Genomic DNA, 27,192 nt, shown 5'->3' on the forward strand with positions numbered 1-27,192 from the left:
GCAACAGCAAATTTGATTTTTAAATATAATCTGCTACTTGGTTAACACAGAACCCCGGCTGGGGCCATGGACCCTTCATTCCCTCTGCCCAGCCCTCCCTGCTTTAGGCATGCTGGCTACTTCTGTCCCCCACTGCACTGTGGCCAGCTCTCATCTCCCAGCTTTATGCAGAGCACACACCTAAGGACACAAGGCACAGAGAAGGGTGATCTCATCCAAGCTCCCATTTCTACTGCTGGCCAAGCTGGGATCGGAACCCAGGCAAATGCCATGAGATCTATGTCTGATCACTACAGCAATCACTGGCTAGTGCTGTTCTTACTGTTCCCATTTTACAGAGGAAACTGAGGACTGGAGATAAGCAGAGGGATGCCCACCCAGGCATCTGTGTTGACAGCCCCTACTCACAATCTTAATCCTGGCTCAAGAGCAGAACAAGTGAGGAAACCATGAGCAAATAAGAGGAAAACAAACTCTCCTTCGGGATGGGTTACTAAAGACTTGGTGTGTTAGTCAGTCTGTGTTGCTCTAAAGAAACACCTGAGACTGGGTAATTTACAAAGAAAAAGGGTTTAATTGGCTCATGGTTCCATAGACTGTACGGGAAGCAGATGCCAGCATCTGCTCACCTTCTGGTGAGGCCTCAGGAAGCTTTTACTCATGGTGAAAGGCAAAGGCGGATTAGGCATGTCACATGGTGAGAGAGGGAGCAAGGACGGAGGGGCTGCCACACACTTTTAAACAATCAGATCTCAGGTAAACTACCAGAGAGAGAACTCACTCATCCCCATGGGGATGGCACCAAGCCATTCATGAGGGATCCATCTCCATGACCCAAACACCTCCCACCAGGCCCCACCTCCAACTGGGATCACATTTCAACATGAGATTTGGAGGGGACAAACATCCAAACCATATCACTCAGTATAGGAAGGGGGCTCTAACCCAAATGCAAGAGCAGCGAGCAAGAATTCCAGCAGCTGCCTAGGGTCCAGGACAAAGGGAGAGTTCACCGTCTCTACACAGCACGATGGTGAGAGGACAGTGTGGGCCCCAGGAGATGAAGCAGGAAGAAAATCCTGTGCAGAACAGACAATTCGTCTGTCCTCCCAGATGAGGGTTCCCTGGGTCCCAGTGAGAAGGAGTGGACGCTACTGATGTGTTTTAACACATAACTTTAGGCCTAAGCTAACTTTATGGAAAACTGCATATAATTATTATTCTACAGCACAGATGGATTCATTTTGAGGTAACTTTCCTACTGAAGAATCTCTTAGCAGATCTGTTGCCTTTGAGTAGTCAAAATTCAGAGCCAGCAGCTGAGGGAGGTAGTTTGCTATGAAGGGGTGGTTCTCAAAGTGGGGTTCACCGGAGCGGCAGCACTTAAGATGCAAATGTTCAGGCCCCATCCAGACCTACTGAATCAGCGCTCAGGTGGGGCCCAGGAAAATGTGTTTTAACAAGCCCTTTGGGTGATCTGATGCCCGCTCAAGTCTCAGAAATCCTGAGAGCATAAGGTGCCTTAATGTGTACAATCAATCATTCTGGTCTGAAGTTTCCACATAATAAAAGCTGCATTCACAGTACTGTGGGAAGAGCCATGGGATCTGAGAAGAGCATTCGGTCACCTCCAGGCTCTAACACCTCTGGGAAAACCTCTTCAAAAAATACCTTTAGAAATAATAAACACACATGATCAAATTATGAATACATAATCAGGTGACAAATACTAACTATGGTTACAAATTTTAGAAAATTTTCAGATGAACTGGAGGATGGCTAATATTATCCCACCGTTAGGACTTGAAGAAGCAAATATTGAATTTTTTAAACTAGTTGATACAAAATAATATTTTAAAATATACAAATGTAGGCATTCTCATTTTCTTACAAACTAGTCATGTCCCTGAAAATGAACCTTTCCTCCTTGTTCAGGACACTGGTGTTAGTAACAGTTGCATATAAATAAGGCTTCCCAAACAAACATCTTATCTTTATATGGAAGGAAGTTCATGAAGAAGGAATTGACGTTCTTCCCCAACAACGACGACAATACATTTTTGGGTTCCTTTTCCAGAAATTAGTAAATAACAAAATACCTTTCAGTTTAAAAAAGCATGTTCATAGCAAATGCTTAAATCTAATCCATATGCCACTCATATGCTTAAAAAGGAAGATGGTTTCCATGAGCCAATTTCTCCACGCATTCTGTGCCAAATAAAACAGATTTCAGCAAAAAGCTTTTACTGCCTCAGAGGAAACTCTGTTCATTCTACAGGGTATAAAGTACTATTTATTTTTCATTCAGAATTCCCAATTCTCTACTTACTGCACATTTTCCCACTCAAGCAGGCTTTATCCACTGTGGGTAAGCACATTAAATGCAGAAAAATACAACATCTCTTCTGGGTGGAAGAAATTTTTAAAATGCTGGTACAGTTCACCATCTACATTTTATCGCATTAACAAAATACAATTCTTATTAAAAGAAAAAAGCTGACATAATATTGATCCTGGAAGTCATACTTTTTATTACTAACTAAAGAAACCTATCCTAAGCCAAAGCAAAAAGATATTCCCAGGGGCATGTAGCTGGGAAAGGCCAATGCTATCAATATGGTCTGCATATTATAAAAAAGTTCAGAATCTACATCCAAGCAAATTAATGAGACACACTGCAGAAAATCAGAAGAAATAGCTTTGTGTTTTCCATTTGCATCATCTTATCATGGATGCATACAACAAAAAGGTACCATTTGTGCCTAAATTTATTTTTATGAAAACACAGCTAATATATCATGAAGAACTCAAAATAAGTCAGTTACATTAGGATATATGTATACATTCCTTTTTTTTTTATTTTTTATTTTTGAGACAGAGTTTCTCTCTTGTCACCCAGGCTAGAGTGCAGTGGCGTGATCTTGGCTCACTGCAACCTCTGCCTCCTGGGTTCAAGCAATTCTCCTGCCTCAGCCTTCTGAGTAGCTGGGACAATAGGCGTGCACCACCATGCCTGGCTAATTTTGTATTTTTAGTAGAGACGGGATTTCACCATGTTGGCCATGGTTGGTCTTGAACTCCTGACCTCAGGTGATCCTCCTGCCTTGGCCTCCCAAAGCGCCGGGATTACAGGCGTGAGCTACTGCACCCGGCCTAGAAAATATTTAAGAGATGCAAAAATAAAAATATTTTCTTTGAAAATGTGTTCCACTACAGGCTTTTCAGATAGATTTTTAGGGATATGAAGGACTAAGGATGGAAGCAGGATGGTCTCTGAGACCCAGGGATAAAGAACAACCATGAAGGAACAGAGATGGATGACCAGAGGACCGACTTGCAAAAATAGATGGACAGACGGACATACCTGGACAGAACGACAAGCAGGCTGATAAGGAAATTACATGACATGTCAGGACCCCGCCATTTGGTATCTGCTGCTATAACTTTTTATCAAGATCCAGGGACCAAGCCTCACATTCAGGAGGCACAGACTTAGTTTTTAGGGTATTTTGAGAGCAAATGAGCAAAAAGGGGCTTTGAACCTAAAGACTAGCAGGGGCGTGACACTCTCAAACTATGCAACTGGGCTAGGCCACATGACACATGCGGCAAGAGTTAGGAAATAAAGTTCTGCCACAGAATGAATGGACTCTGAATTTGCTTTCTGTAAATGTTGGCATTTGTGGCATGCTGCCTCCACAGGAAGCTGGGATGCAGTCAGTCAGAAAAATCTCAGTCCAGGGAAGAAGACTGCATCCTTATCTTTACAGCTGCATGGTGGATCTGACATATTAGGGTATGTGGGGAGCAGGACTGGGCTGCTGGGTGTATCCTGACTGCCTTGGGGAACTCAGCTTCTCAGAGTTAAAATCATGAGCCCTTCCTGGCATCTTGCCTTTACTTTTAAATAAAGCTTAAATACTTGCCCCCAACACTCCAGTCGCTACAGCCACAAACATGAAGGATTACTGTGTTCCCAGGGAGCTTTGGAACAATCAACTGTGTCACTGAAAAGATGCTTTGGTTGTGAGAACAGCCCACTGCCCTACCTTTTCCGATGCCTTGTCTTGCACAGGTGGCCCTGAACCTGGAGGAGGAGGGGCTCGGCGCTTCTTCATCTCCGACTTCACGGACACCCCTGAGATGCTGCCCAGCGAGAGGGATGGACCCAGCGTAAGAGAACGTGAGTGCATGGATGGGGAGTTGGGGGTCGTTAAACAGCCCTGTTGGGGAAGAGACAAACAGAAAACCAAATCAGTATGAGATGACTTCTCCCCGTATGAATGCTCACATGAAGACAAAGTTCCAATCCGTCCACCTGAGCTTGAACGGCAGCTGTTTCTACAGTCAGCTTGAATGGTCTGAGCAAGCCCTGCCTGTAGCTTTCCAGGGAAAACTGGAGAAGATGCTGCAGGACAGACTCATGCTGTGAGGCTCCCTTTCTTAATCATGAAGGCCATGGCAGACTCTTTAAGCCATTAAGAGAACACTTAGCAGCTAGAATCATTTAAACTTCTTGACCAACCTGCAGGTGTGAACTGGCCTCCTTAAAACTTTAACCCATTGTCAGAATGAGCTCTTAGACACTAAAAAGAGGAAGGAACTGATCAAGAAATACATCTTCATGAGGAAGACACCAACAGTCTTGGTCATCTTGGGAAGTACTCCACTTGTTGCCAGGAGGGGGCTTATGTTTCTTCTAATTTTCAGAAGTTATGAAAACTGACAATGTGGTATAAGCAGTATGCTGTGAAGACTGTCTAGGACCATCAGTACCGTACTTAGTGACAGATACCCAATAAGCTGAAAGAAATACAAGCCAACACACTAATTGCTCTCAAGGGACAATTTCTACACCAGGCGGAGCAGGCTACAGGACACACAAACTTTTTGAATCTTTTTTCTCCCTAAGGTCTGCTTAATAGAATCATGTAAGTGCTAGTGCAGAAAGCATTCGGGGAACCAGCAGAACCAGCACTCTAACTTCAAACTGAAAACAAGATGGTACCATGCTGTGTCCTGGTGCCTCTTCTCTCCTAGCCCTGGCAGATCTTCCACCTGTTACCATGGACACAGTCAACACTGAGAGCCAATGCAGTATAGGGGTTAAGCCCACAGACCTTGGAGACACTACCTGGGTTTGATTCCTTCTTTTGACCTTAGACGAGGTATTTTTTGGTGTCAGGAGTAAGATACAAACCTTGGGCAAATTTTTAATTTCTCCCTACCCCAGTTTATCTCCTGTAAAACTGGGGTAAATAATAGTTCCTGCATTACAAAGCTATCATGTGAATCAAATGAGTGACTGGATGTAAAAGAGCTTGAAAGAGTTCTTGGCACATTGGCTGGGTGTGGTCATGCTCACCTTTAGTGCTAGCTACTTGGGATGCTAAGGTGGGAGGATCTCTTGAGCCTGAGTTTGAGGCTGTAGTGAGCCATGCTGGTGTCATTGGAAGACAGAGTGAGATCCCACTTCTTTAAAAAAAAAAAAAGGAGTTCTTGGCACAAAGTAAGTACCCAATATGTGTTAGCTATTATGATTATTACACTTGCTTGTTTGTATCTTTGTCTCCCATTAAGATGTGAACTCAATGAAGACAGTAATTATCACTGATTTTTACTGAGAACTGTATGTAATCCCAGCTCCAAACAGTTCCTGGTAGGTGGAGGGCCCTTCAGTCAACCTTCCTGAGACAATGAATAGACAGATGACCCTCTGGGTCACTATGCTTTCATATTTTACATAATAAGCTTGTGGGTAAGATTTCATTTGAACAACTAGTTCTCCATATTTAAAATGAAGATATAAAGGAAATCCATCATATTAAACAATAGCCCAGTATTATTTGTGCTCAGACACAAATGCTGTTGCTCTACCAGTTATACTATCATTTGTTTTCCTGAAAAAAAATTGAGTCACAGATTTTCTTGTGCTTAAATATTAAAGCCAAAGGACAAAGCACTCCATGAAGGCTGCTTTTTACGCCATTAGTGCTTCCCTGCAGACACTGAATATCAACGATGCCCGATGCTTTGGCTATCAGGTGCAGAGTTCCCATAGGAAACAGGTGACGGTGATATAACAGAAAAGAAACTAACACCCAGAACACTCGTCAATGCCTATTTAGGCTCCTACAGAAAAATGTAAATTGTTCCCTTGAGTCCTTGAGTTCTGCAGCCATCATAGTCATTACTAAGCAAATAAGCCATGCAAAATAAACTCTGCCTTACATCCACCTCCATGGCAACAGGGAGGACTCAGGGAGATGCAACTCAAGATTTATTTAACCCTGCAGGATCTAGAAGACTAAATGAAGCACAGGAAGCAAACCAGAGAAGGGATTTTGCTATTCACAGTTCTGGAGCTGGAAAGGTGTTTTGCTGGATGGCTGGTTTGTACAAACACCCCCAGATCCAGGGGGAATGCAAACCCCATCTTTCCTCATCAGTAGTCACTTAGCATATGGCCAGAGCATGGACACTGGGACCTTCCACACTGTTCTGTTTCCTCATCCATAACGTCTGCTGACAGTGACTGCACATGCACACACTCACGCACATGTGCACACACTCACAAACGTGCACTCACACATGTGAACACACATTTTGGAGGATGCTTAAAGCTGTGGTAGTCAAAGAACTACACACCTGTACCCATGCCACCTGCTATCTCTAAAGCACACATGCCCCATCTGACGTCCCAGAAACACGATGTCCATGGCAGTGCATTCCACAACCACATATCTAATTGCTTGTCTTCATTCCACCCTGTCTAGACATGGAACTCCCAGTTCCTCTTGTCCTCGGTCCTCACCACAACTATGCCTGCCTGACTGATCAATCAATACTGCTGTGAATCCACCTCTGTCCTGTAAGTGCCCTGAGCACTTAAGGAAGGTCTGTGCAGAATACTCCCTTAAAAGAACTTTACAGCCCCCTTCCATTTCATATTGATTTCAGGTTTTAATTCATAATTTTTTTTGCTGTCATAAGCATCCTGGACATTTTGCATTATCTATTTTTTAAGGTAAGGAATGGGAATAGACCCCATAAAGTAGGTACATCCCCATCTTTAAAATGGGGAAAAATCCATTTCCTTCAAAGTTGTTACAAGCATTAAATGAAGTAATTTAGATAAAGCACATTAGAAGTGTCTAATATATGTGGTTTCCTTCTTCTCTGATACCTATTTTGGGTGGCCATGACCTCATGAGGGCCACACTGAGATGACCTTGAATGGCAGAAAGTCAGAAGGCGGAAGTGCACCCCATCCCAGTCCTCCTAGAAGTTCTGATATTGATTATCTTCAGACAATGGGCTCCTCATGAGGCCTTCATCTGTGACTCTGGAACTTAACTGAATTTCAATAGAACAGATGATTTTTCTCCCCTAATTTGCTCTACACAATTAACAAATATCTCTTCCCACCTCCCACAATGCTCCCAAGGAGGTCGATTGCAGGGTCCAGTGGTCCTGAGCCACCAGACCCTCTTCTCAGTTCTGCTACTCAACAGTGTTTCTCAACCTTCAACCCATGGGAAGCCAAAAACTTTATGTTGTCCAGCGAATACTTGTGCTTCATTTCTATCTTCTTTCCCTACTTTTGGAATTTGTGCGCAGAATTTAGAAAGCAATCCACAGAATAATGTGGGAGGAAAACATTGTGAAGTATTGAGTCCTTTAAAGTCCTGACTCATATCAATACGAAGTCAAAGGGAAAACCAAGAGCTTAATGCATGCAGTCTGGAGTCAAAACAGCTTGGCCCCCCCTATTATCCCAGTTTCCTTGGTTGTCTCCTGCTACAAAGTGGCAAAGTTCATGAGGGACAGGCCACTGCTTGCCTGCAAGAGAGGTTTGATTTCCTGTCCAAGCTTGTCAATATATACATGTTTTTAATATCAAGTTCTTTTTTTGTAGGGAAGTGAGTCATAGCTCTCACCAAAGGTTGGCACCAAAATCCACAGATGTTGGCAGTCATGATCTTATCAAATTTTCTCAGGAGTTGCAAGTGCAACCAGATAAATCATTAAGAAAAAGCAATGAATAACAGAAAAGAAAACTAAGCAAACAGAACCTTCTATCTCAGGCTTCATGGGACTTAGGTTGGTGGGATTTAAACTTCCTCCAGGCCAGCTGCTGTCATTCAATGGATAGTCGAATTCAATGGCGCCCACCAAAGACAATGCAAAACTCTCTGTGTCCATGTCACCACACCACTGATAGCCAATTAACTCCTTACATTCAGTGTAAAACATCAGTGATTTGACTCTCATACGCGCATCTGGGGAGAGAAGACAGGAAGAAGAGGAAGCTAACCGTTTCCAGATCTGAGTGCCAGCTCAAAATAAAACCAGTATCATCTGCCACAAGTGCTTTTGACATGGGTCCTAATTTTAAATTTACACACACACAAACATTTATGTATGCATGGGTGTGTGTGTGCGTATATATATATGTACATATTTGATTGCTTCTGTTTAAAATGTACTCATCTCAGCAAAGCTTATTTTCCTTTTATTTGACTTTCATTGTGACGACAAAACACTACTCCACTGACAGGGACAAGGAGCTATGCAGATCTAGCACCAGGCAGCAGGGGCACGGCCCTGACAGCACAAGTGCCCCATAGAACCTGATAGGGCACTGAGAGTGCAGGGTGTTCCTGGAATACTTTCAGGGCTCACAGGTACCGCAGAGAACACGTTGTCTCCCTCGCTCATTGACTTATAATTGATCAGAGATCAGTACCAGACAAGAAGCTGAGCATGTTCAACGTAAACATCCCTATTTCGAGTCAGCACAGACTGCCATGGTCCATTTCCCTTTGCCAAAATTCTTGAAGATATCCTCACAGAGCTGCCTCACGAGCACACCCATCACACAGCCTAAGATGGATCAATCTGTTCATACAACAAAAAGGGGCTTGGTGTACTTCAACCCCTTACTGTACTGCACAATACACTTCCAGGGACAAACAGGAGATGCTGTACCTGAAATCTTTCTGTTTAAATCGATTTAAAAAAAAAAAAAGAGAAATGGTCATTTTGTTTCCATTTCTCAAAGGTGTCCATCCTACAAATACAATTATACCTTGACTCATTTAATCAAGTCTACTAAAAGCCTGAGTAGATCTTTTGACATGGCTATTGAGGAATTCAGATGTTGATTTCTGTTTCAAGGTTAAGGGATATGTTTTGGTTACAATAAGTATACTCTGAGCTGGCAATCAACAATCCTCTCAGCAGAGGCTCTTCTAAATGGGATCAGATCCTCTTAGAAGGACATGATGTTTGCTGTTTTGATGGTGAGAAAAACTGAGGCCCAGACAGAGCTACTCAAGATGGCTCTGTGCCCTAGTGATATAATAAATTAGAAAAACTGAGGCCCAGACAGAGCTACTCAGGATGGCTCAGCTCCCTAGTGATAGAATAAACTAGAAAGATGAAACTAGAAATATGTTCCTGTTGCTGCCTGCAGCCTCCTCTCCTTAGACGATGCTGCCCCCTTTTGAAAGGCTTTACAACTTTTTTTTTTTTTTTTAAGGCTTTGTTAAAGAATCGAGTGGGAGGGAAGATTCCAGAACCTGTTATCCACACTGGCTTTTCTTCAGATACAGGTGTTGACAGGACTCAAGGCAGAACAATGTGACATAAACCAGATGAGGCGAACGGGCACTCCCTGGGGTCTGTTGGGCAGAGCAGCTCAGGTCTGTCAAAGCTCCTGGTGAGGTGAGAATGGGGAGAATGCTGCTTCTCATCTGTGGTGGCTGGCACAGTCTTGGGTAAGGGCAAGGCCAACTTTCCTTCCCAAGAGGGTGTTCTCTGTCTTTGTCTTTGCATTTCCTTATCCTCAGGGCACAGCCTTCCTGACAGACACTCCTTAAGCTGAATCCCTGAGCCAAATCCTGAGCTGTCTTCTGGCATCCTGGAAATCCTGCACTGATTCCGAGGAAGCGGCAAAGAAAGAACCATGAAGCATGCCAGCTTCATGTGAACTGATCACCATGAATGGGCAGGACAATGGAACTTAGGAATCTCATTTCTAGAGGGTGAGGCGAGTAGGAAATGATCGCTCTTTTTTGGCCAAGTACCCCATGGAATGCCTGGGGGATGGCATTTTAAGTATTTAGAAGAAGAAAAGTGGCAGAAGCTATTTGGTCTGGATGCATACTTCAGCCAACAAAATACCGTGTCACACAAGCTCTCTGATGGTTTCTCGCCTGGCAAGACATTTTCTTAAAATGAGCAAACAAAGAGTATCCAACTGGTATTTGATTTTTTTTTTTTTTTTTTTTTTTTGAGACAGAATCTGTCACCCAGGCCGGAGTGCAATGGTGTGGTCTGGGCTCACTGCAACCTCTGCCTCCCTGGTTCAAGGGATTCTCCTGCCTCAGCCTCCTGAGTAACTGGGATTACAGGAGCGTGCCACCACGCCCGGCTAATTTTTGTATTTTTACTAGAGACAGGGTTTTGCCATCTTGGAAAGGCTGGTCTCGAACTGCTGAACTCAAGTGATCCACCCGCCTTGGCCTCCCAAAGTGCTGGGATTGCAGGCATGAGCTACAGCGCCCGAGCTGGTATTTTATTTTCCCTTAACATAACTGGAAGACATGATTGAAGGTGAGCTATCAGACAGTATTTCAGTCTTATGAAGCAGGACCATCTGCCAGGCATTTGAATGTTTAGAATGCTTAACAATGACAATTTCAGAAAGGCAGAAGTTTCTGAAAAGCTTGTAAATTAAAAGGAAATGAGCCCCGGGGTGCTTCAAAGATGGATGACATGCGATGTGTGTCCTCAGGCAGGCAGGATCCTGTGACAGTGGCCACAGCAGACCGCAGAAGCTCATTTCCAGCCAAGCCAGGGGGAGGGAGAGATGCAGTGCATGGTGCAAACTTCATCAGGGCAGGTGGAGGAGGAAAAGTAAGAGGAAGGGCATCAAAGGGGAAGGATAAGGCAAGAGAATGTTATGAAAAGTTAAGTCATAATGTGCAGCATAGTGACTGACCAGAATTAAAAAGCAAGGAGTGGGGGCTTGGCAGCAGCAGAGAAGAGCATCAGGGAAAGGATGTTCACAGGGCATGCCTCAATCTGCATGCGTGTGTGTGTGTCTGTGTGACTGCTTGCGGTCAGATGCGAGATTTCAGCTGAGGCAAACTCAATTAGATACAGTTTCAGGGAAAAATGAGGTTCCAACTTATAAAAATAATACAATCCTAATGAAAAAGGGAAGGTTTTTCCCTCTCAAATGCACATGTAAAATTTGCCATAATTTATGTGGTGACACATTTTGAATAACTGACTTATAAGTTCAGTTTTCTATACTTCATCAAGAGTGATACTTTATGTGTAGCCCTCCTCCAGATAAATGGATTTCTCCAAACGAAACCAAGTATTTCGTGTTAAGTGGGCATTCTGTTAATGAGCATTTTAATAATACCATGGACTAGATCAGGAAAGGAATGAGAAACTCGGCTGTAGATGTGCATGGGGCAGGTCTGGGTGCCGACTGAAAGGGCACCACTACAGGACACAGAAACAAAACAAAAAAGGGAACAATTCCTGTGCAATAAATATGATTGTTTCTAAAACGTGTACCAAATCAGGAAGGCTTCCCTGTAACTCCAGGTAACTGAGTCATGAGTGGAGGAAAAAAGCTGATCAGATTTCTTCCTTGGCAAAACTTCTTTTCAAGAAAAGTAGGATTTATTTTTTAAGAAGCAGGAAAAGTAGCTGTGTGGTTCAAGAGCCTCTCTTCTGGGGGAGCAGACTAATTCTCTGATGCACTGTTTATAATGTTGCCCTCTCTAATCTTCTAAGGGACTTACCATTCATCACTACCTATATGTAGCATGCTATAGAAGAGGGTTAAGAGGGTGGCCACATAATTTATTATCCAAAATAGAACTATTTTTCAAGTGATCTAAAGTAAGCCTAATGGGAAAGAATGCAGTGACATCAGCATTGCTGGGACTGTCCCAGGCTAGCAGAAGTGTGGTCTCTCCACCTGGGCGGCATGTGAGCTGACACCTGCCAGGTGCAAAGAGAACAACTAAGCCGGTTAGGGAGGAAATCTAAACTCCAGGCTCAGAAAATGGTGATAGATTCGTGTGCAGACATGTATTTTACATATATGAACCCACTTGACCCTCATACCAGCTCTATAGGAAGGTAATTACATGGTCCTCATTTCACAGCTAAGGAAACTCAGGTACAGCGAGTTACTGGTTGCCCAAGGTCACACACTAGGAAGTGGTGGAGCCAGACAGGCTGGCTCTGGGGCAGAGGTTCGAAAACTCAGCTGCACGGAACTCCCTGGAGCTTTAATGATGCACACACCCAGGCTGCACACCAATCCAAGCATATCCGAAACCCCGGAGCCAGATCAAGCATTGGCTGTTTTCCTTTTTTAAATTATGATAACAAAATGTGTGTAATAACATAAAATTAACCGTGTTAGCCATTTTAAAGCATACAATCCGTGGTGTTAAGTACATTGACACTATCATCCAGACATCACCACTATCTAGTTTCAGAATGTTTTCATCATCCCAAAAGGAGACCTTGTACCCATTAAGCAGACACTCCCCAATCCCCTTTCCCCACCCCAGTCCTGGACAAACCCCAGTTTGCTTTTAGACTCTATGGATTTACCTGTTCCATATGTTTCATATAAATGAAATCAAACAATATATGATCTTTGTGTTTGGCTTTCACTTAGCATAATGTTTTGAAGGTTTGCTCACATTGCAGCATGCATCAGTATTTCATTCCTTGTTAAGGCCGAATGTTTGATGTATATACCACATTCTTATCCACTCATCTGTTCATGGGCATTAGAATTGTTTCTACTTTTTGGCTACTGTGAACAGAGCTGCTACAAGCATTTGTGTACTATTCACTTGTTTTTAATTCTTTTTTTCTAGACAGAGTCTTGCTCTTGTCGCCCAGGCTGGAGTGCAGTGGTGCGATCTCAGCTTACTGAAACCTCTGCCTCCCAGGTTCAAGCGATTCTCCTGCCTCAGCCTCCTGAGTAGCTGGGATTATAGGTGCCCACCATCACGCCCAACTAATTTTTTGTATTTTCAGTAGAGACAGGGTTTCACCATGTTGGCCAGGCTGGTCTTGAACTCTTGACCTCAAGTGATCAGCCCGCCTCAGCCTCCCAAAGTGCTGGGATCATAGGTGTGAGCCACCATGCCCGGCCTGTTTTTAATTCTTTTGGGTATATTCCTAGGAGAATTGTGGCTCATATGTTATTCCTTTTCTTTTTTTTTTCTTTTTTTTCCGAGATGGAGTGTCACTCCTGTCGCCCAGGCTGGAGTGCAGTGGCACGAACTCAGTTCACTGCAACCTCTACCTCCCGGGTTCAAGCTTCTCCTGCCTCCGCTTCCTGAGTAGCTGGGATTACAGGTACCCGCCACCATGCCCAGCTAATTTTTGTGCTTTTAGTAGAGATGGGGTTTCGCCATGTTGGCTAGGCTGGTGTCAAACTCCTGACCTCAGGTGATCTGCCCACCTCGGCCTCCCAAAGTGCTGGGATAACAGGAGTGAGCCGCCACACCTGGCCTGTTATTCCTCTGTTTAACTTACTGAGGAACAGCCAAAGTGCTTTCCACAGTGGCTGTACCATTTTACATTCTCACCAGCAATGAACAAGGGTTCCAGTTTATCCACGTCCTGGCCAACATTTGTTTTCCTTTTGTTTGAACAGCCGTCTTTCGTGTGTGTGAAGCGGTGTCTCACTATGGTTTTGAACTGCACTTCCCCCACTACTAATGAGGTGGAGGCATCTTTCCGTTTGTTTACTCCCACTAGGCATCTGTGTTTGGGAATCAAGAGTGGGCCCCACCGCTCTCACCTTTGCTCCTGACCATCACAGCACACTGCCCAGGCTGGAGGTGGCTCATTTTTATTCTCTCTTAAGGAACAGTGCCTTAGAGCATCAGCCATCAATATTTTTACTGGCCCCAAGCCCCATGATTTCATATGCATGGGTTTCACATGCAAGGTGCCAGCCTCTGAGCAGCATCTGTGCAAGAGCTGCAACTCCATCCTTCTGTCTTCTTCAAAAAGTGTATCAGAGAGGGAATAATCATGTTTTCCAGGTGAAACTGAATGGCTTTTGTCTGTTTAAGTAAATCACTCACAAATTTGGGTACTCTATTATTAATTAACAAATAATTAATCAGCCCCTCCTTGGGGCTCCCTTGCCACCTCCTTTTAGAATTGCTGCAAAGCATAACGGCTGGTCAAGTGCACATCCCCATGACTGCAGGGAGGGGCTGCCAGGCATACTCATCTCAAGGTCACCCATGAAGTTCACCTTCAAAGCGATCGGCAGTTTCCTTGAGGTTCTCTTGGCAATCTTGTCATTTAACCTCAGTCCTTTCCTATTTTCTAGCATGACCTGTGGGACTCAGATTCTGTAGCGCTTCTGCCATGCCCCACTCCGTTCTCCCATTAAGATATTATCTCTTGTTGGAAATAAAAAGAGGAGACAGAGGAAGGTGACCGCTGTGGAGCTGCTAGTGCAGGAATGTGGGGGCGGGGGGAGGGGGGCAATAGCCCAGATTTCTAGGAAGCTGGGAGAGTTAGAAATAAGGCCTGATGAAGAGCTGTGCATTTTCTCATATAAAGGCAGGTGGTGCAGAGGGGGAGTCGCAAGGAATACGGGATATTCCCTCACTTCTTTCCAACTCAAGATGAGCAGGTCAGAGCAGTCAGGAGGAAAACCCAAGACCTACAAAAGTTACTTAATAGGAGGGCTGTGATCCATTGGGAAGTTGGAGAGCAGATACGGCTGCTGATCCCCTGGCAGCCCCAGGAGGGGTGTGACATTCTCAGCTCCCCACCTTGGGCATGGTGATGGGGAGCCAGCAGGGGGTTGCTCATTAACCTGCAGGAAGTGTTCTGCAGGCCAGGGTCCCTGCATAGGGACAGCAGAAGGCACTGCAGAGGGGAGGGGAATGGCTTTCCTCTCAGAATCCAGTCAGGACTCCGCAGCCCTGGGGCAGCTGTGACCTCCAAGCTGTGTCAGCCCTGGACTTGCATGTGGCTGGGTGTGGCCTTCCCTCTCTAGAGAACAGCTGGGAGCCAGCGCACTGAGAACCTGCCCATGGCCATCCACTAAGCCCTTCCTTGTCCTAGCTCACAAAAAGGTCCCTCAGCCTTGTATGGGTCACATTTGTTAGAAATGCTTGTTACTTGGTGCTGTAAAGAAATAGCACTTGAACATAAATTTAATTTTCTCAGCAAGGTCATTTTTACTTTCTGCAGAAAGGGTACACTCACCAGCAGTTTTGCCAGGAGAGTACACCGAACAAAGGAGACAGGGTCATTTATAACCTGACGCGTTCACCTTACTGCTGTATCTGGTTTCCACTGGCCAGAACAGGACCTCGCTTTCTGTATTTGTCCTGATTGGCTAGCAACTTAGAACTTTTTAAAAGAGCAAAGGTAGAGGAGAACAAAGGGAGGAGGAAGTAACTTGTGGAATGCTGAGAAAGGTGAAAACACCTCCAAATAAGGAAGAGGAATAGGCTATGACCTAACGCCCGCTTGGACTAGTATAAGCATGCCAGGGCAAATATTTAGGCGAAATTGCGGGACCTAAGAACATAAAGTACGTTGATTTTTCTTTTCTTTTTTTTTTTTTTTGATACAGAGTCTCACTCTGTCATCCAGGCTGGAGTGCAGTGGCGCGATCTCGGCTCACTGCAAGCTCCGCCTCCCAGGTTCACACTAGTCTCCTGCCTCAGCCTCCCAAGTAGCTGGGAATACAGGCACCCGCCACCACACCCAGCTAAGTTTTTTGCATTTTTATTTTATTTTTAGTATAGACGGGGTTTTACCGTGTTAGCCAGGATGGTCACGATCTCCGGATCTCGTGATCCGCCCACCTTGGCCTCCGAAAGTGCTGGGATTACAGGTGTGAGCCACCACACCCAGCCACATTGATTTATTACGGCTAGCAGATATTTAAGAATGTTAGCACAGGTCTTTGAATAAATATTGCTTCTAAGAGAAGTTACTATTTATTCCTAATTAGACGGAGAGGAGAGTCTCTTTGAAGAGGAACCTCTATTTTACTATTTACACGTTTGTGCACAGGGCAGGTGGGAGGCAGCCAGAGTGACTGGGGGGTGGGCTACAAAGGGAAGGGGACCCATTTCCCCTCATCTTCCCTCGCTTTGTCTTTCTCTCACAGCTCACGCTCCACCTCAGCTCCTGTTAGATTCTCTTTTGGTTGGTTTCTAAGGTACAACTCTACTGGCTTTTAAGCAAAACTATAGGTGCTATTCAATGTCTCCCTCTCCCCAAGTTGCAGGTACCCCTCAGCGGCCCACTGGGTCCTGTTGCCCTCCATCTTCTCTCTGACACAGCGGCTTCCAAGGCCTTGGCCCATGGATGCTGTCCATGTCGCTAAGGTCTTGTCCTGGCCCCTCTCCTGCCTAGCTGCCATAAATGCCCTTGACTTACTCCCAAATTTTCTTGACTTTCCGTGGCTCATTCCTGAATTTCCTTAGCTCCCTTTCCTGGGAATCCTACCAACTGGAAATGCATATCCCTCCATGACCATGGCTCTTGGCATTCTGACCTCACCTGTCTGAGATCCACTCCCCTGAATACCCCTTCAGAGCCAGGCCAAGGTGTGGGAAGGGAGGTGGGGTGCTGGCAGCGGGGGCTGTAGCAGAGGCAAGCCAGGGCTGGCCATTCAGACACCCCCCGGAGGACCACTGCTCCAGGCATCCCCAACCCCCTTATCATTTACTCTGTGTGTGTGTAAACATGTATACACATATATAACTTCACCCCACCACAAAAAAATCTCTTATCTTTGTAAACACTCGAGCCCACAATTCCAATTTTAATACAGGGACCACACCTCCCTATTTCTGGGTGGTGTGGTTTTCCAAGTTCCTGAGACATCCTCTATGTCAAGGTTTGCTATAAACCCCAAGCCCGAAGGGGCATTTATCTTCCCCATATGGCCCCACAGCTACACTGCTCTGCTGCTTGGCTTGATTTTGTTTCCATTTCTGTGAGGCAATGTGAAGTGCAAGTGTCTGTCACTTCTCATGAACAGAGTCATCTCCTGATGCTTGCCGGAGGGCTGCAGACACCCATTTTCTGAATACCACAGGGGCACATCACTTCTCCTGAAAGGACAGGAACTGGCGTCTGTGGTGCTTTCCCCACCTGTGGTCAAAGACAGGTCTGTCCAGGCTCCAGGCTTCCTCCCCAGTCACACTTTCTTCAAGGGCCATGTGTTCCTGAACCTATCTTCACACTACAAGCAAAACCCCATCCCTACTTTGTCTACAATTTTATCTCCCACTTTCTGAGCAACTTTTAAACTGGCTGGTACACTTGCAAAAATAAGCAAATAAACTGATTTTCTCATTGCTTTTAGAGTGTTTGGTGAACTTACTCTTACATGGATTTAACCCAGTTCCAAATTTATTATTTCACTATTTGTCTCAGAATGTCTTTTTGTTTTGTATTTTGTTTTTGAGACAGAGTCTCACTGTGTCGCCCAGGCTGGAGTGCAGTGGCGCAACCTCAGCTCACTGCTACCTCCTCCTCCCAAGTTCGAGAGATTCTCCTGCCTCAGCCTCTGAGTAGCTGGGATTACATGTGCCCACCACCACGCCTGGCTAATTATTGTATTCTTCGTAGAGCTGCGGTTTCAGCATCTTTGTAAATAGCACCTTTGTTGGCCAGGCTGGTCTTGAACTCCTGACCTCAGGTGATCCGCCCACCTCAGCCTCCGAAAGTGCTGGGATTACAGGCATGAGCCACTGCAACCAGCCCAGAATGTCTAAAATAAGAATACAAAAATGATCACTTCCTTTGGAACTTCTCATGTTTTCTTTACTTCCATTAAACCCTGGCAGCTGGCATTTTCCAGGGAGATACTTCCAGGCATGCATGCACAAGTTCTCATACAGAAAACAAGGTAAGTCTCCCTTCCACAGAAAACACACACACAAAAAACACTGCAAGGGGAAGGGAGAGGAGCCGAGCCCCTCTGAGCTACAGAACGATGGGTACACCTTGGGCTCACTCATCAGCTAAGTGACTTGTGTATCCCAGAAGTGCCTTAGCAGAGTAGCCCAACCTTCTGGTCCACTACAGTCTCTGATAGTCCAGTGTCTACTGCTCTTACTCAGAAGGCCTGCAGCCTAGACAGCTTCCTACATTTCTGATAGTGCTCATGATTGAACGTAGGTGTTAGGAAAGGAAGAGAAGTCACTCGGCATGCCTCTCATACTCATCCCACACCAAGAGAGACATCACTAGTCAACCCCAGCAACCTTCTCCATTCAGTGTTTCAGGAAGCTCCCCCAATACACAGAGCTGCCGTGAATCATCATCATTATTATTACATGGCTATACTCCTCTTCTCACATTTTGATTGTCCTCAACATAAATGGCAACATTTCTCTTGGTTTCCTGGAGAAACTATGGGAGTCAGGCAATTCTCCAATCCTCCAGGAGAAAACAGAAACTATAACTGACCTTCTTTCAGCCTACAGCAATGAGACCAGGTTGACACAACTACTTCGCCACTTTCAGTAGATGATTCTAGTTGAGTTCATTGTCCAGATGAAGACCACCTATGGCTGCTCAAGATTGGGCAGAGACCACAGGCTGCACAACTCAAAGGGAAGTGTCTGCTTCTGGCCAAGAGGTACTAGATCTTGGGGAGAGTGCTCTATTTTTCTTAGCACAAAATTATAGCTGGGATGTCATGTTCTTACCCAGATATGGGCCCACGCTTAAACTCTTTTCAGATGCTCAGTTGGTTCTTTCTAGTCGCAGAGAGCCCCTTCTTCAGGAGCAAGAGTCACCTGCCCCCCTCCCCGCCCCAAATCAGCACTGACAACTCCTCCCAATATTGTTCTGACCTCTGACCATGGTCAGGGCAAGAAAATGAGTCAGTAAGCACCCTGTGCTTGCATGAAGCAGACAAAAACACAGCTCTTTCAGATGTGGATCTTTCTGCCACTGAAAATCCTCGGCTCTTTCCCATACTATTGTCAAATCCTATCTCAGTTCAGCTGCTGTACATAGGCGAAACATTTTCAGCCTTGATGCACTGATTTATGTTCAAGTCCTCTGGCCTTGCATCACAGGCAACTAAGATCTGTATAAACGCTGTATGTCAGCTCAGCAGCTATCCCACCCAGTTCTGCTTTATCTACAACCTGCGGCCTGGAAGTATGTTGAGTTCCCGTGCCCTGGGATGCAAGTGGACATCTCTCCTCTAGGCTTTCACAGATCAGGAAAAAATGCCCACTGGAAGAAATCTGCCCCCACTCTGGCGTCGCACCTGCCCTTCCAGAGTCTCCCCATAAGATATTAACAAGTGACTGGTGTGGCTAAGAATGTAGAAGAAGGTGAAAAACTAACGTTCTGATTTTTTAAAAAAGAGATTTGAGCCTTGTTAACCATTCAGAGTATATCCTTCATGACCTGGTAGCTTCACAAAAGCATACAAAGAGAGGCGGAATAAACATTTAGGGTAATTACAGCTGGCCTGCATCAAAGTCCAGTAAGCCCTGTAATTTCCTGGTCAAGAGGAAGCTCAGGCTTTAGGACAAACTGAAAAACAATCATACCAGCAAATACTAAAAGGAATATTTCCCAGCTTCCTTGGTTAGGACAGAGCTTTGAATCATTTCTTCAAGAGCAGAAAGGGCTCTGTGTGCCTGGCTCAGGCTAGACACACAGCGTCCTCCTGGGAGACCCCACGGACAAGCCAGGGTCGCCCACCAGCTGTTCACCAATGGCCAGCACCCTCAGCCGCCTGTGGCCATTCCTTAACTCAGTGTATTAGCAAAACATCTCTTTAATGATCTGATTTTGGCTTAATAGCCATTTCCTGCTCACAAATCATATGATCTCAGGACAAACTCTGCTCTTATTCAAAAAGTCACACTTTGTGATGCACACATTCCATAACGATGCCTTAAAGGTTTAAGGACTATGGCATTACAGGAAAGTGCCAAGATAGACTAATACTCCAAGACCAGAAAAGGAACACTCTGGCTACGCACAAGGGACAGGCCCAAGACAAATGAGCAGAGATGACCAGCGCTCCAGAGACAGCTGTTCAATTCTGATTTAAGGTAAGACAAAATTTAGGAAGAGGGGACCATTTAACCATAAGTCAAATAAAAATCAATTATTTTGCAATACTAGGAAAGTTCTCACATCTGTAGCTTGTTTCTTAGCTACCCTGAATCCCACTCCAGTCAAATTTAGTTGGTACCATGGTTCACTTTTGTCCCATCCTCCTAAGCCTCATGAAACCCCCAAGCTGCCGACTCCCACATTTACATTTACAGGGCTGATTGCATTTTTATAGAAACCATCTCTGTCCAGCCCCTTCTGTTGGCACATTTGTCAGACCTAAAGCAAGAGAAAAAAATGGCAATAAGCTATTAACATTTTCAAGGTTTCCCAGGTATTCTTCTCCTTCAGTTAAATCCACTGCTGTGAGCTTTCTCTGTTGCTTCCTACAACCCTACCTATGTTTTCTGTTGCTAAGAGTTGGCAAAGGCAGAAAATAATTCCAAAACTAAAAGTGGTTTCATATACAAGTTAATTGACAATATAAACAGGCTTGAAAGCAGCATCTTTTCTCATCCTTGTTGTATGATTTGTCTGGTGGATTCAGGGCCCTGTTGGGGCAGAGGCTGGCGATGGTCTTAGGGACATTTCTGTTTCTCATGCCTGAATGGGAATGCTCCAACGGTTCAGCCCAGGCATTCTCTAACTTAGATCTGCCATCCATGGCCCCCAGATCAAGAATCCTCTGAAAGAGCAAGCAATGAACTGAACCAAACCACAATCCTTTGTTATGAAGATTTTCATTTTTACATATGGCTAAGAGCTACTTATCACTAGCCTACTATTGTATATCGTAAGGTTAAATTCATACATAGTTAGAATTTACTCTGGATTCTAATTTTGTCCTCTTCTGTGGGTCCCAGCTGCCATGGGGGATTGTAAAGATCTTATCAAATGTGTGCACACTCCGGTGAGAAGCTCATAGCATAAAAAAAAGATACTTTTTTATTAGCACATCACTGGCATCATACAAAAGTTGGTCTTAGGCTTTAAAATGCTATGACTCTTGTTTCTCAATAATATAGTACTGTTAATTTTGCTTTATTGTTACCAATTAATTATTACTGATAATTAAAGATATCTAGCTAATAATTAAGATGGTTAGCAAATAATTTTAAAATAACTAGAATAAAGTAAAAACAAGAAGTCATCCCTATTCTATGCTAAAAAGCAACCATAAATGTAATCATTCCTAATGCATTTGTATATTAATGTTTCATTACTGAGAAGCTGCCTGCAGGTATGTGTTATTTAAATAACATTGCTGAAGATTTCATTGTGACTGCTATTTGCTGTGAACAGCATGCTCCGTGACCTACAATCTCATAGATAGGCTTCTCTTCTCTTCTTTTACACAGTAGATGGGCAATATGACTGCTGATAGCCAGTGAACTCACACGACTTCTTTACATCCTTCCCTTCCTTGTCATCAAGGAAATGGGGACAAGACCATGGAAGCTGCTGTGGTAAGGAGGCCGCAGGGTCTCTGGCCCTGCTTGGTGGGTAACGTCAGGACAGCCAGCTGAGTAGCACCTCTATTCTCCCTTTCAGTGATTCCAATATCAGTGCTGTCACGCAGCGGCCAGCTAACGTTTTTATTTCCCAGACTCCTTTGCAGCAATATAGAGCCATGTCCTTAAGTTCTCGCCAATAAAATGAGACTGGATGGGAGGTACATGTAACTTCCAGACTGGCCTGTAGAGACCTCACAGATGTGTCCTTCCATGGCGTCCCCTCCAACTGATGGAGAAGCAGATGGCCGTGTTCATCGTGGAGGCCCGTGTCGCTGAAAGATGAGTGCCTCCAACCTTGGCAGATGCAACCTTCCAAGTACCCTGAGAGTCACCAACAGCCTCTGAATCCAAGCTTCTGAATTCTGGGGATTTCCTTTATGAGAGCAGCTTAGCCCAGGCTTACTAACATGTTGGCCACAGTCAAGGGAGTCAGAGTTCCATGCATATTCTCCACACATAGAAGGAAGCCAGAGGAAAAACCATGAGGGTGGTTTTAAGCTACAGCCCTAAGGCTGGCTGCTGGACCTCATAAGAACAGGCACAGACCAATGTGCTATGAGCGCAAACTGAAGCAGAGAACATGGTCAGGGCACGGAGGGCCAAGGCACAAAGGGGCTTTGAGAGGCTTAGAGCAAGGGTGCCACAGAGCTGACATCACTCACAGTTCCATGGGAGCAAATAGGATTCTAATGGAGGCAGCAAATCCTGATCTGGGGCATGACTGTACTTCAATAAAACAATAGATGTCATTATATCCCAGCAAAAGCATTAAAATGAGGCTTCTCTTTCATCAGCCTCTGTACGAATAACTCCCGGTGGGATGTGGGCACCTCCCCTCCTCTCTGAGAATCCGTGGCTGGGCCATGGGTATCATTAGGGTCTGCGTCACTGGCACACATCCCAATCCCAACCTAAAGGTGTGGAGCCAGCAGGTAAGAGGAGAGGAATGGGCATGGGCAATTTTCACAAAACACTCAAGAAAATATCATTCAAAATCTCTGCATCAAAATTGAGAGTTCTGGGCAACCAGGCCATCTGCTTCAGCATTCACCATTTTCCTTTTTCCGTGTGTAACTTTTGCTTACACTACTGGAGACTGTCTCTGACATGGGATATAAAGTATTAACAAACTGCGCCAGAGATCAATTCTCATTGGCTATACTTCTGACCAAAGCAGGCATGCGTTCAATGAACACATCTAAGTTCCTACTCTTGTTTCCAGGCACTGCATTAGTTGAACAATCAGAAATAATAGCAATAATATTAATAATAAATGACTCTGTCCTCATAGAGCTTAAATTCACTTCACCTGTTTGCTTCCAATTAACTCCAATGTTTTAACAAAATTCAGCTATAAATGGTTGTTGAGGTCAGAAGATAACCTCTGGAAGAAGGGGCAGAAATGGTTTTGGACACAGCCAAACCAATTACCAATATATGGCTGCAAAGACAGGATCAGAAGCCACTCTGCCTGGGACATAAAATATGCAATATTTAGGACAATAAAGAGTTTTACTTGGTAATAGAAAGACTGTACAGTTCCAGCCGGGAGCAGTGGCTCACACCTGTAATCCCAGCACTTTGGGAGGCTGAGATGGGTGAATCACGAGGTCAGGGATTTCAGACCAGCCTGGCCAACATGGTGAAACCCCATCTCTACTAAAAATACAAAAAAATTAGCTGGGCATGGTGGCACACACCTGTAATCCCAGCTACTCAGGAGGCTGAGGCAGGAGAATCATTTGAACCTGGGAGGCGGAGGTTGCAGTGAGCTGAGATCATGCCACTGCACTCCAGCCTAGGTGACAGAGCAAGACTCCATCTCAAAAAAAAAAAAAAAAAAAAAAAAAAAAAGAAGACTGCACAGTTCCTATATAGCCCTGGTTTCATTTCTACAGATTTCAACTCCCCTAACCATAAATGAAGGAACACTCAGAAGCTCTACACCTATGGGGTAGTGTGTGTTAAACAGAGTGGTATCCAAGTCAGTAAACCTAAACAGAAAAACGTTATCTGCTCAGGACTATTTAAGCCCTCCTGTGTGAATTGCTTAGAACTGACCTGAAGCATCTACTCTAGGTCCCATTGTGATGGTTCTTACGGAAGGGAGCCTGCATCATCAGTAATGAAAATATCAACATTGACTTCTGCCAATCTCCATGCAACCAAGCAAAACACAGAGAGATCAAGGAAATTCAAATGCAACTGGGAATCATAGTTTCTCCATAAACCACTGTATTTTCAAAGAAATAAGCTTCATAAACACCTGTATTTATAATTTGCTTATAGTTTTTGCTATAAAGCTAGAAAATCATCCAGACGACATAGAACAGAAATTCATTGTGCTAAAAGAAAACAAATATCAAAGACAGTCCACTTAGGATATATCACTAAATGTTGATTTTTGTAGTTCAACCAAAATACTCTGCACACACACACACACACACAAAATTTACAAGCCAAGAAGGCAAATTAATTCCTTTCTTACCCTTTTATTTTTCTTGTTGTGGTTCTTTTCCTCTTTTTTATCTCCCCATGATGTCCAGACAGTAGTTATTCTTGTCCAAGTTTATCAAATTATCTCAGTTTGAAGCTCAGAGCCAATACTTCCGAAATGTCCCTTTCTGAAAGCTCACCGAAGTGTCTCTTCTGAAGGAGACATCAGGTTCCCCAGGAATCACCCAGCAGGAAGCATCACCCAGAATTATTCAGTTTTATTGGAGGCTGTCATTCAAAGGAGTTACGCTCACCATATAATTACAGATCCAGAATATATCATCTCGGATGGCAAACATTCTTAGCCAAGCAAATAAAAGAATTCTCTGATCCTTCTCACCCCACATGGAGGGTCAAATATTGAGAAATAGCTAGTCATTTGTTCAGGCTATTTTTAAACACACATTTCCAATGTACAGTCAATAAAAAACCACCCTTCACACACACACACACACACACACACACACACACACACACACACAATGAACTGTAGTTAAGGTGCACTTTCAAATCACTAAATGGAACTGCTGAAGAATGGGAACTTTCATTTCTTAACCCTTCTCCTTCCTCTCCCCCTTAAACTGTTCTGTACTTAAAATAGAAACACAGGTGCCCCTAAGCTGGATTCCCCTCTCAGAGAGGGAGCCACACAGCTGCATCCGCAGCTTAGCTGAGGCTTTGCCTTCTCTGTACAGACCTTCCTTCGCCCTTCTCACAAGGAGAACCGAGCCCTCTGACTCTACCTCCTCGCCAGGGCCTCAGGCTTGATTCTCCTATTGCCTCATCTGCCCCAATACCTCAAATCAGAGTTTTAACAAGGCCAGGGCTAGCCAGACACGGTGGCTCACGCCTGTAATCCTAGCGCTTTGAAAGGCCGAGGCAGGCGGATCACTTAAGGTCAGGAGTTCAAAACCAGCCTGGCCAACATGGTGAAACCCCATCTCTACTAAAAATACAAAAAAATTAGCCAGGCGTGGTGGTGTGGGCCTGTAATCCCAGCTACCTGGGAGGCTGAGGCAGGAGAACTGCTTAAACCCAGGAGGCAGAGGTTGCAGTGAGTCAAGATCATGCCACTGCACTCCAGCCTGGGCAACACAGCAAGACTCCGCCTCAAAAAAAATAAACAAGGCCCCTGGCAATGCCAGAGAATTTGGAGTTTCAGTAGCACCGGCAAGGGGTTCCTTGGTGTCTTCTGAGGGCAGGGGGTTGGCCTGGCTCCTCTGTGTGTCTCCAGTGCCCCCTGGTCTGCTGATGGGACAGACTCAAAGTGTGCCCAGGGCAAGTGGTTGGAGAGGCGAGTGTCTATGTGGGGAGGGATTTTAGTGGAGGCACTCTGCTCTCTTCTCCCTTTTCTTTTCTCCTTCTTTCTTTCCTTATTTTTTCCCCCTCAATATTCATTGTTCTTATTCTCTAAGTCAAAATTCAGACTTTGGAAAATAAATAATCACTTCAGGAAGTCTATTTATTGTACTATATGGTGACTATAACTACTAAGAATGTATTATATACTTGAAAATTACTAAAACGGTAGACTTTAAATGTTACCACAAAAATATAAGTATGTGAGGTCATGGATATGGTAATTAGCTTGATTTAGCTGTTGCACAATGCACTGATATATAATTTTTATTTGTCAATTGAAATAAACAAAATACAGACAATCATCACACACATTGTTAAAACATACAAAATATGCTCTGTGTTGTTAATGGACAGACAGCCTTTCACTATACTTCTTAAAATATAAAACTTTTAAAAGGGTTGCTGCCCCTGGGGAAGGAAGAAGAGAGCCAGTTGTTGTGTTAGAGAGGCAGTGTCATCTGTGTCTGCTGTGTTTCTTAGTCGTTAACAAAAAGACAATGCAGCAAATGTAGCTAAACACACATTAACATTTGTTAATGGTGGATGATTGATATGGGACTGTTTATTTATTATTCTTTTTATTTTACTATTTCTATGTATTTTCTATTTGTTTATTTTATTTATTTTACTCTGTAATCTACTATGAATTGGTACCATGCAAAATTTCAAAAAGGAGAAGAGACCCTCAAGGTGCAGTTTATGTTGAAAGAATGGAGAAGAATGGACCCAAACCTACCGGATGGCGGAAGGGCAGGGTCGGGGAGGAGCCTCCTCACTCACACGCGTCCACAGCCTGTAACCATCGCTCAACAGGAAGAAAAGGGAAGGACTATAGGTCCGCCTGGGACATATTTAAGATGCAGAAATCAAGAAAATGTGACAACCCTGGAAGAGGAAGCAAAGGTGGTGCTAGCTGAGGAGACAACAAGGGAGCAGTGGGGATTTAAGAAGATCCCAGTCTCCAGGGTAGAGGACGCATCCCTAGGGGCCCAGACCCTGGGGCAGGTGCCACTAGGAACAGAGCACGGTGGGAGGCTGGGAAAGTGTCCGCCCCTGCCCTTTTCCAGGGAGGAGCTGGAAAAGAATGCAGGCAAAAGTCGGGGAGGAAACACTCATTCCTAATGAAATGAAATCTGTAACATCAAATAAAAACAGGAGATGAGCGCGATGCTGGGACAAGCACACTGGCCTGAGCCAGGGGTGTCCATAGGGCGGGGGACAGGGAAAGCGAGGCACGGGGTGGGAGACAGGGAAGGCGTGGGGGACAGGGAAGGCACAGCGCCGGGGACAGGGAAGGCACAGCGCGGGGGTGCAGGGGCTGTGTGGGCAGGGAGGCGAGCTGAGAAACAGCAGCCCCAAGGGCCGACCCTGGGACTGCCAGTGTGTGGGACACCCTGTCTATAGTCCACTTCCTTTTTTTAAGAACCTGGATCAAGACACACGAAGAGCTGGCCAGGAGCTTGGAGGAGGGCAGCGGGGGCGGCGTTGCAGGCTCTCTGCAGCCCCCGGCCGCGCGCACCTGGCGGCCGCGCGCGCTGCGCTCTGGATGCCGCGTGAAACCGCAGGGCGCAAAGCAGGGAGGTGGGGAGGAGGCTTTGGAGACCACAGGTGCTGGGAAGTGGAGCCGCCAGGAGGCCTGGGCCAGGTGACAAGGCCAGGCTGTGTGAAGTGGTGAGAT

At 44.9% G+C, this 27,192-nt stretch overlaps 1 protein-coding gene across 23 annotated transcripts in view; it reads right to left on the bottom strand.

Moving 5' to 3' along the window:
* COBL (cordon-bleu WH2 repeat protein) overlaps positions 1–27,192 on the bottom strand; it is a 300,598-nt gene that overhangs the window by 115,897 nt on the left and 157,509 nt on the right. For all 23 annotated transcript variants that reach the window (NM_001346443.2, NM_001346442.2, NM_015198.5 and 20 more), the window contains one exon: positions 4,050–4,223. In NM_001346443.2, coding sequence (NP_001333372.1) covers positions 4,050–4,223 — 174 coding nt within the window. The remainder of the gene's footprint in view (positions 1–4,049; positions 4,224–27,192) is intronic.

Source organism: Homo sapiens, chromosome 7 (genome assembly GCF_000001405.40).
Source record: "Homo sapiens chromosome 7, GRCh38.p14 Primary Assembly".
Lineage (NCBI taxonomy): Eukaryota > Metazoa > Chordata > Mammalia > Primates > Hominidae > Homo > Homo sapiens.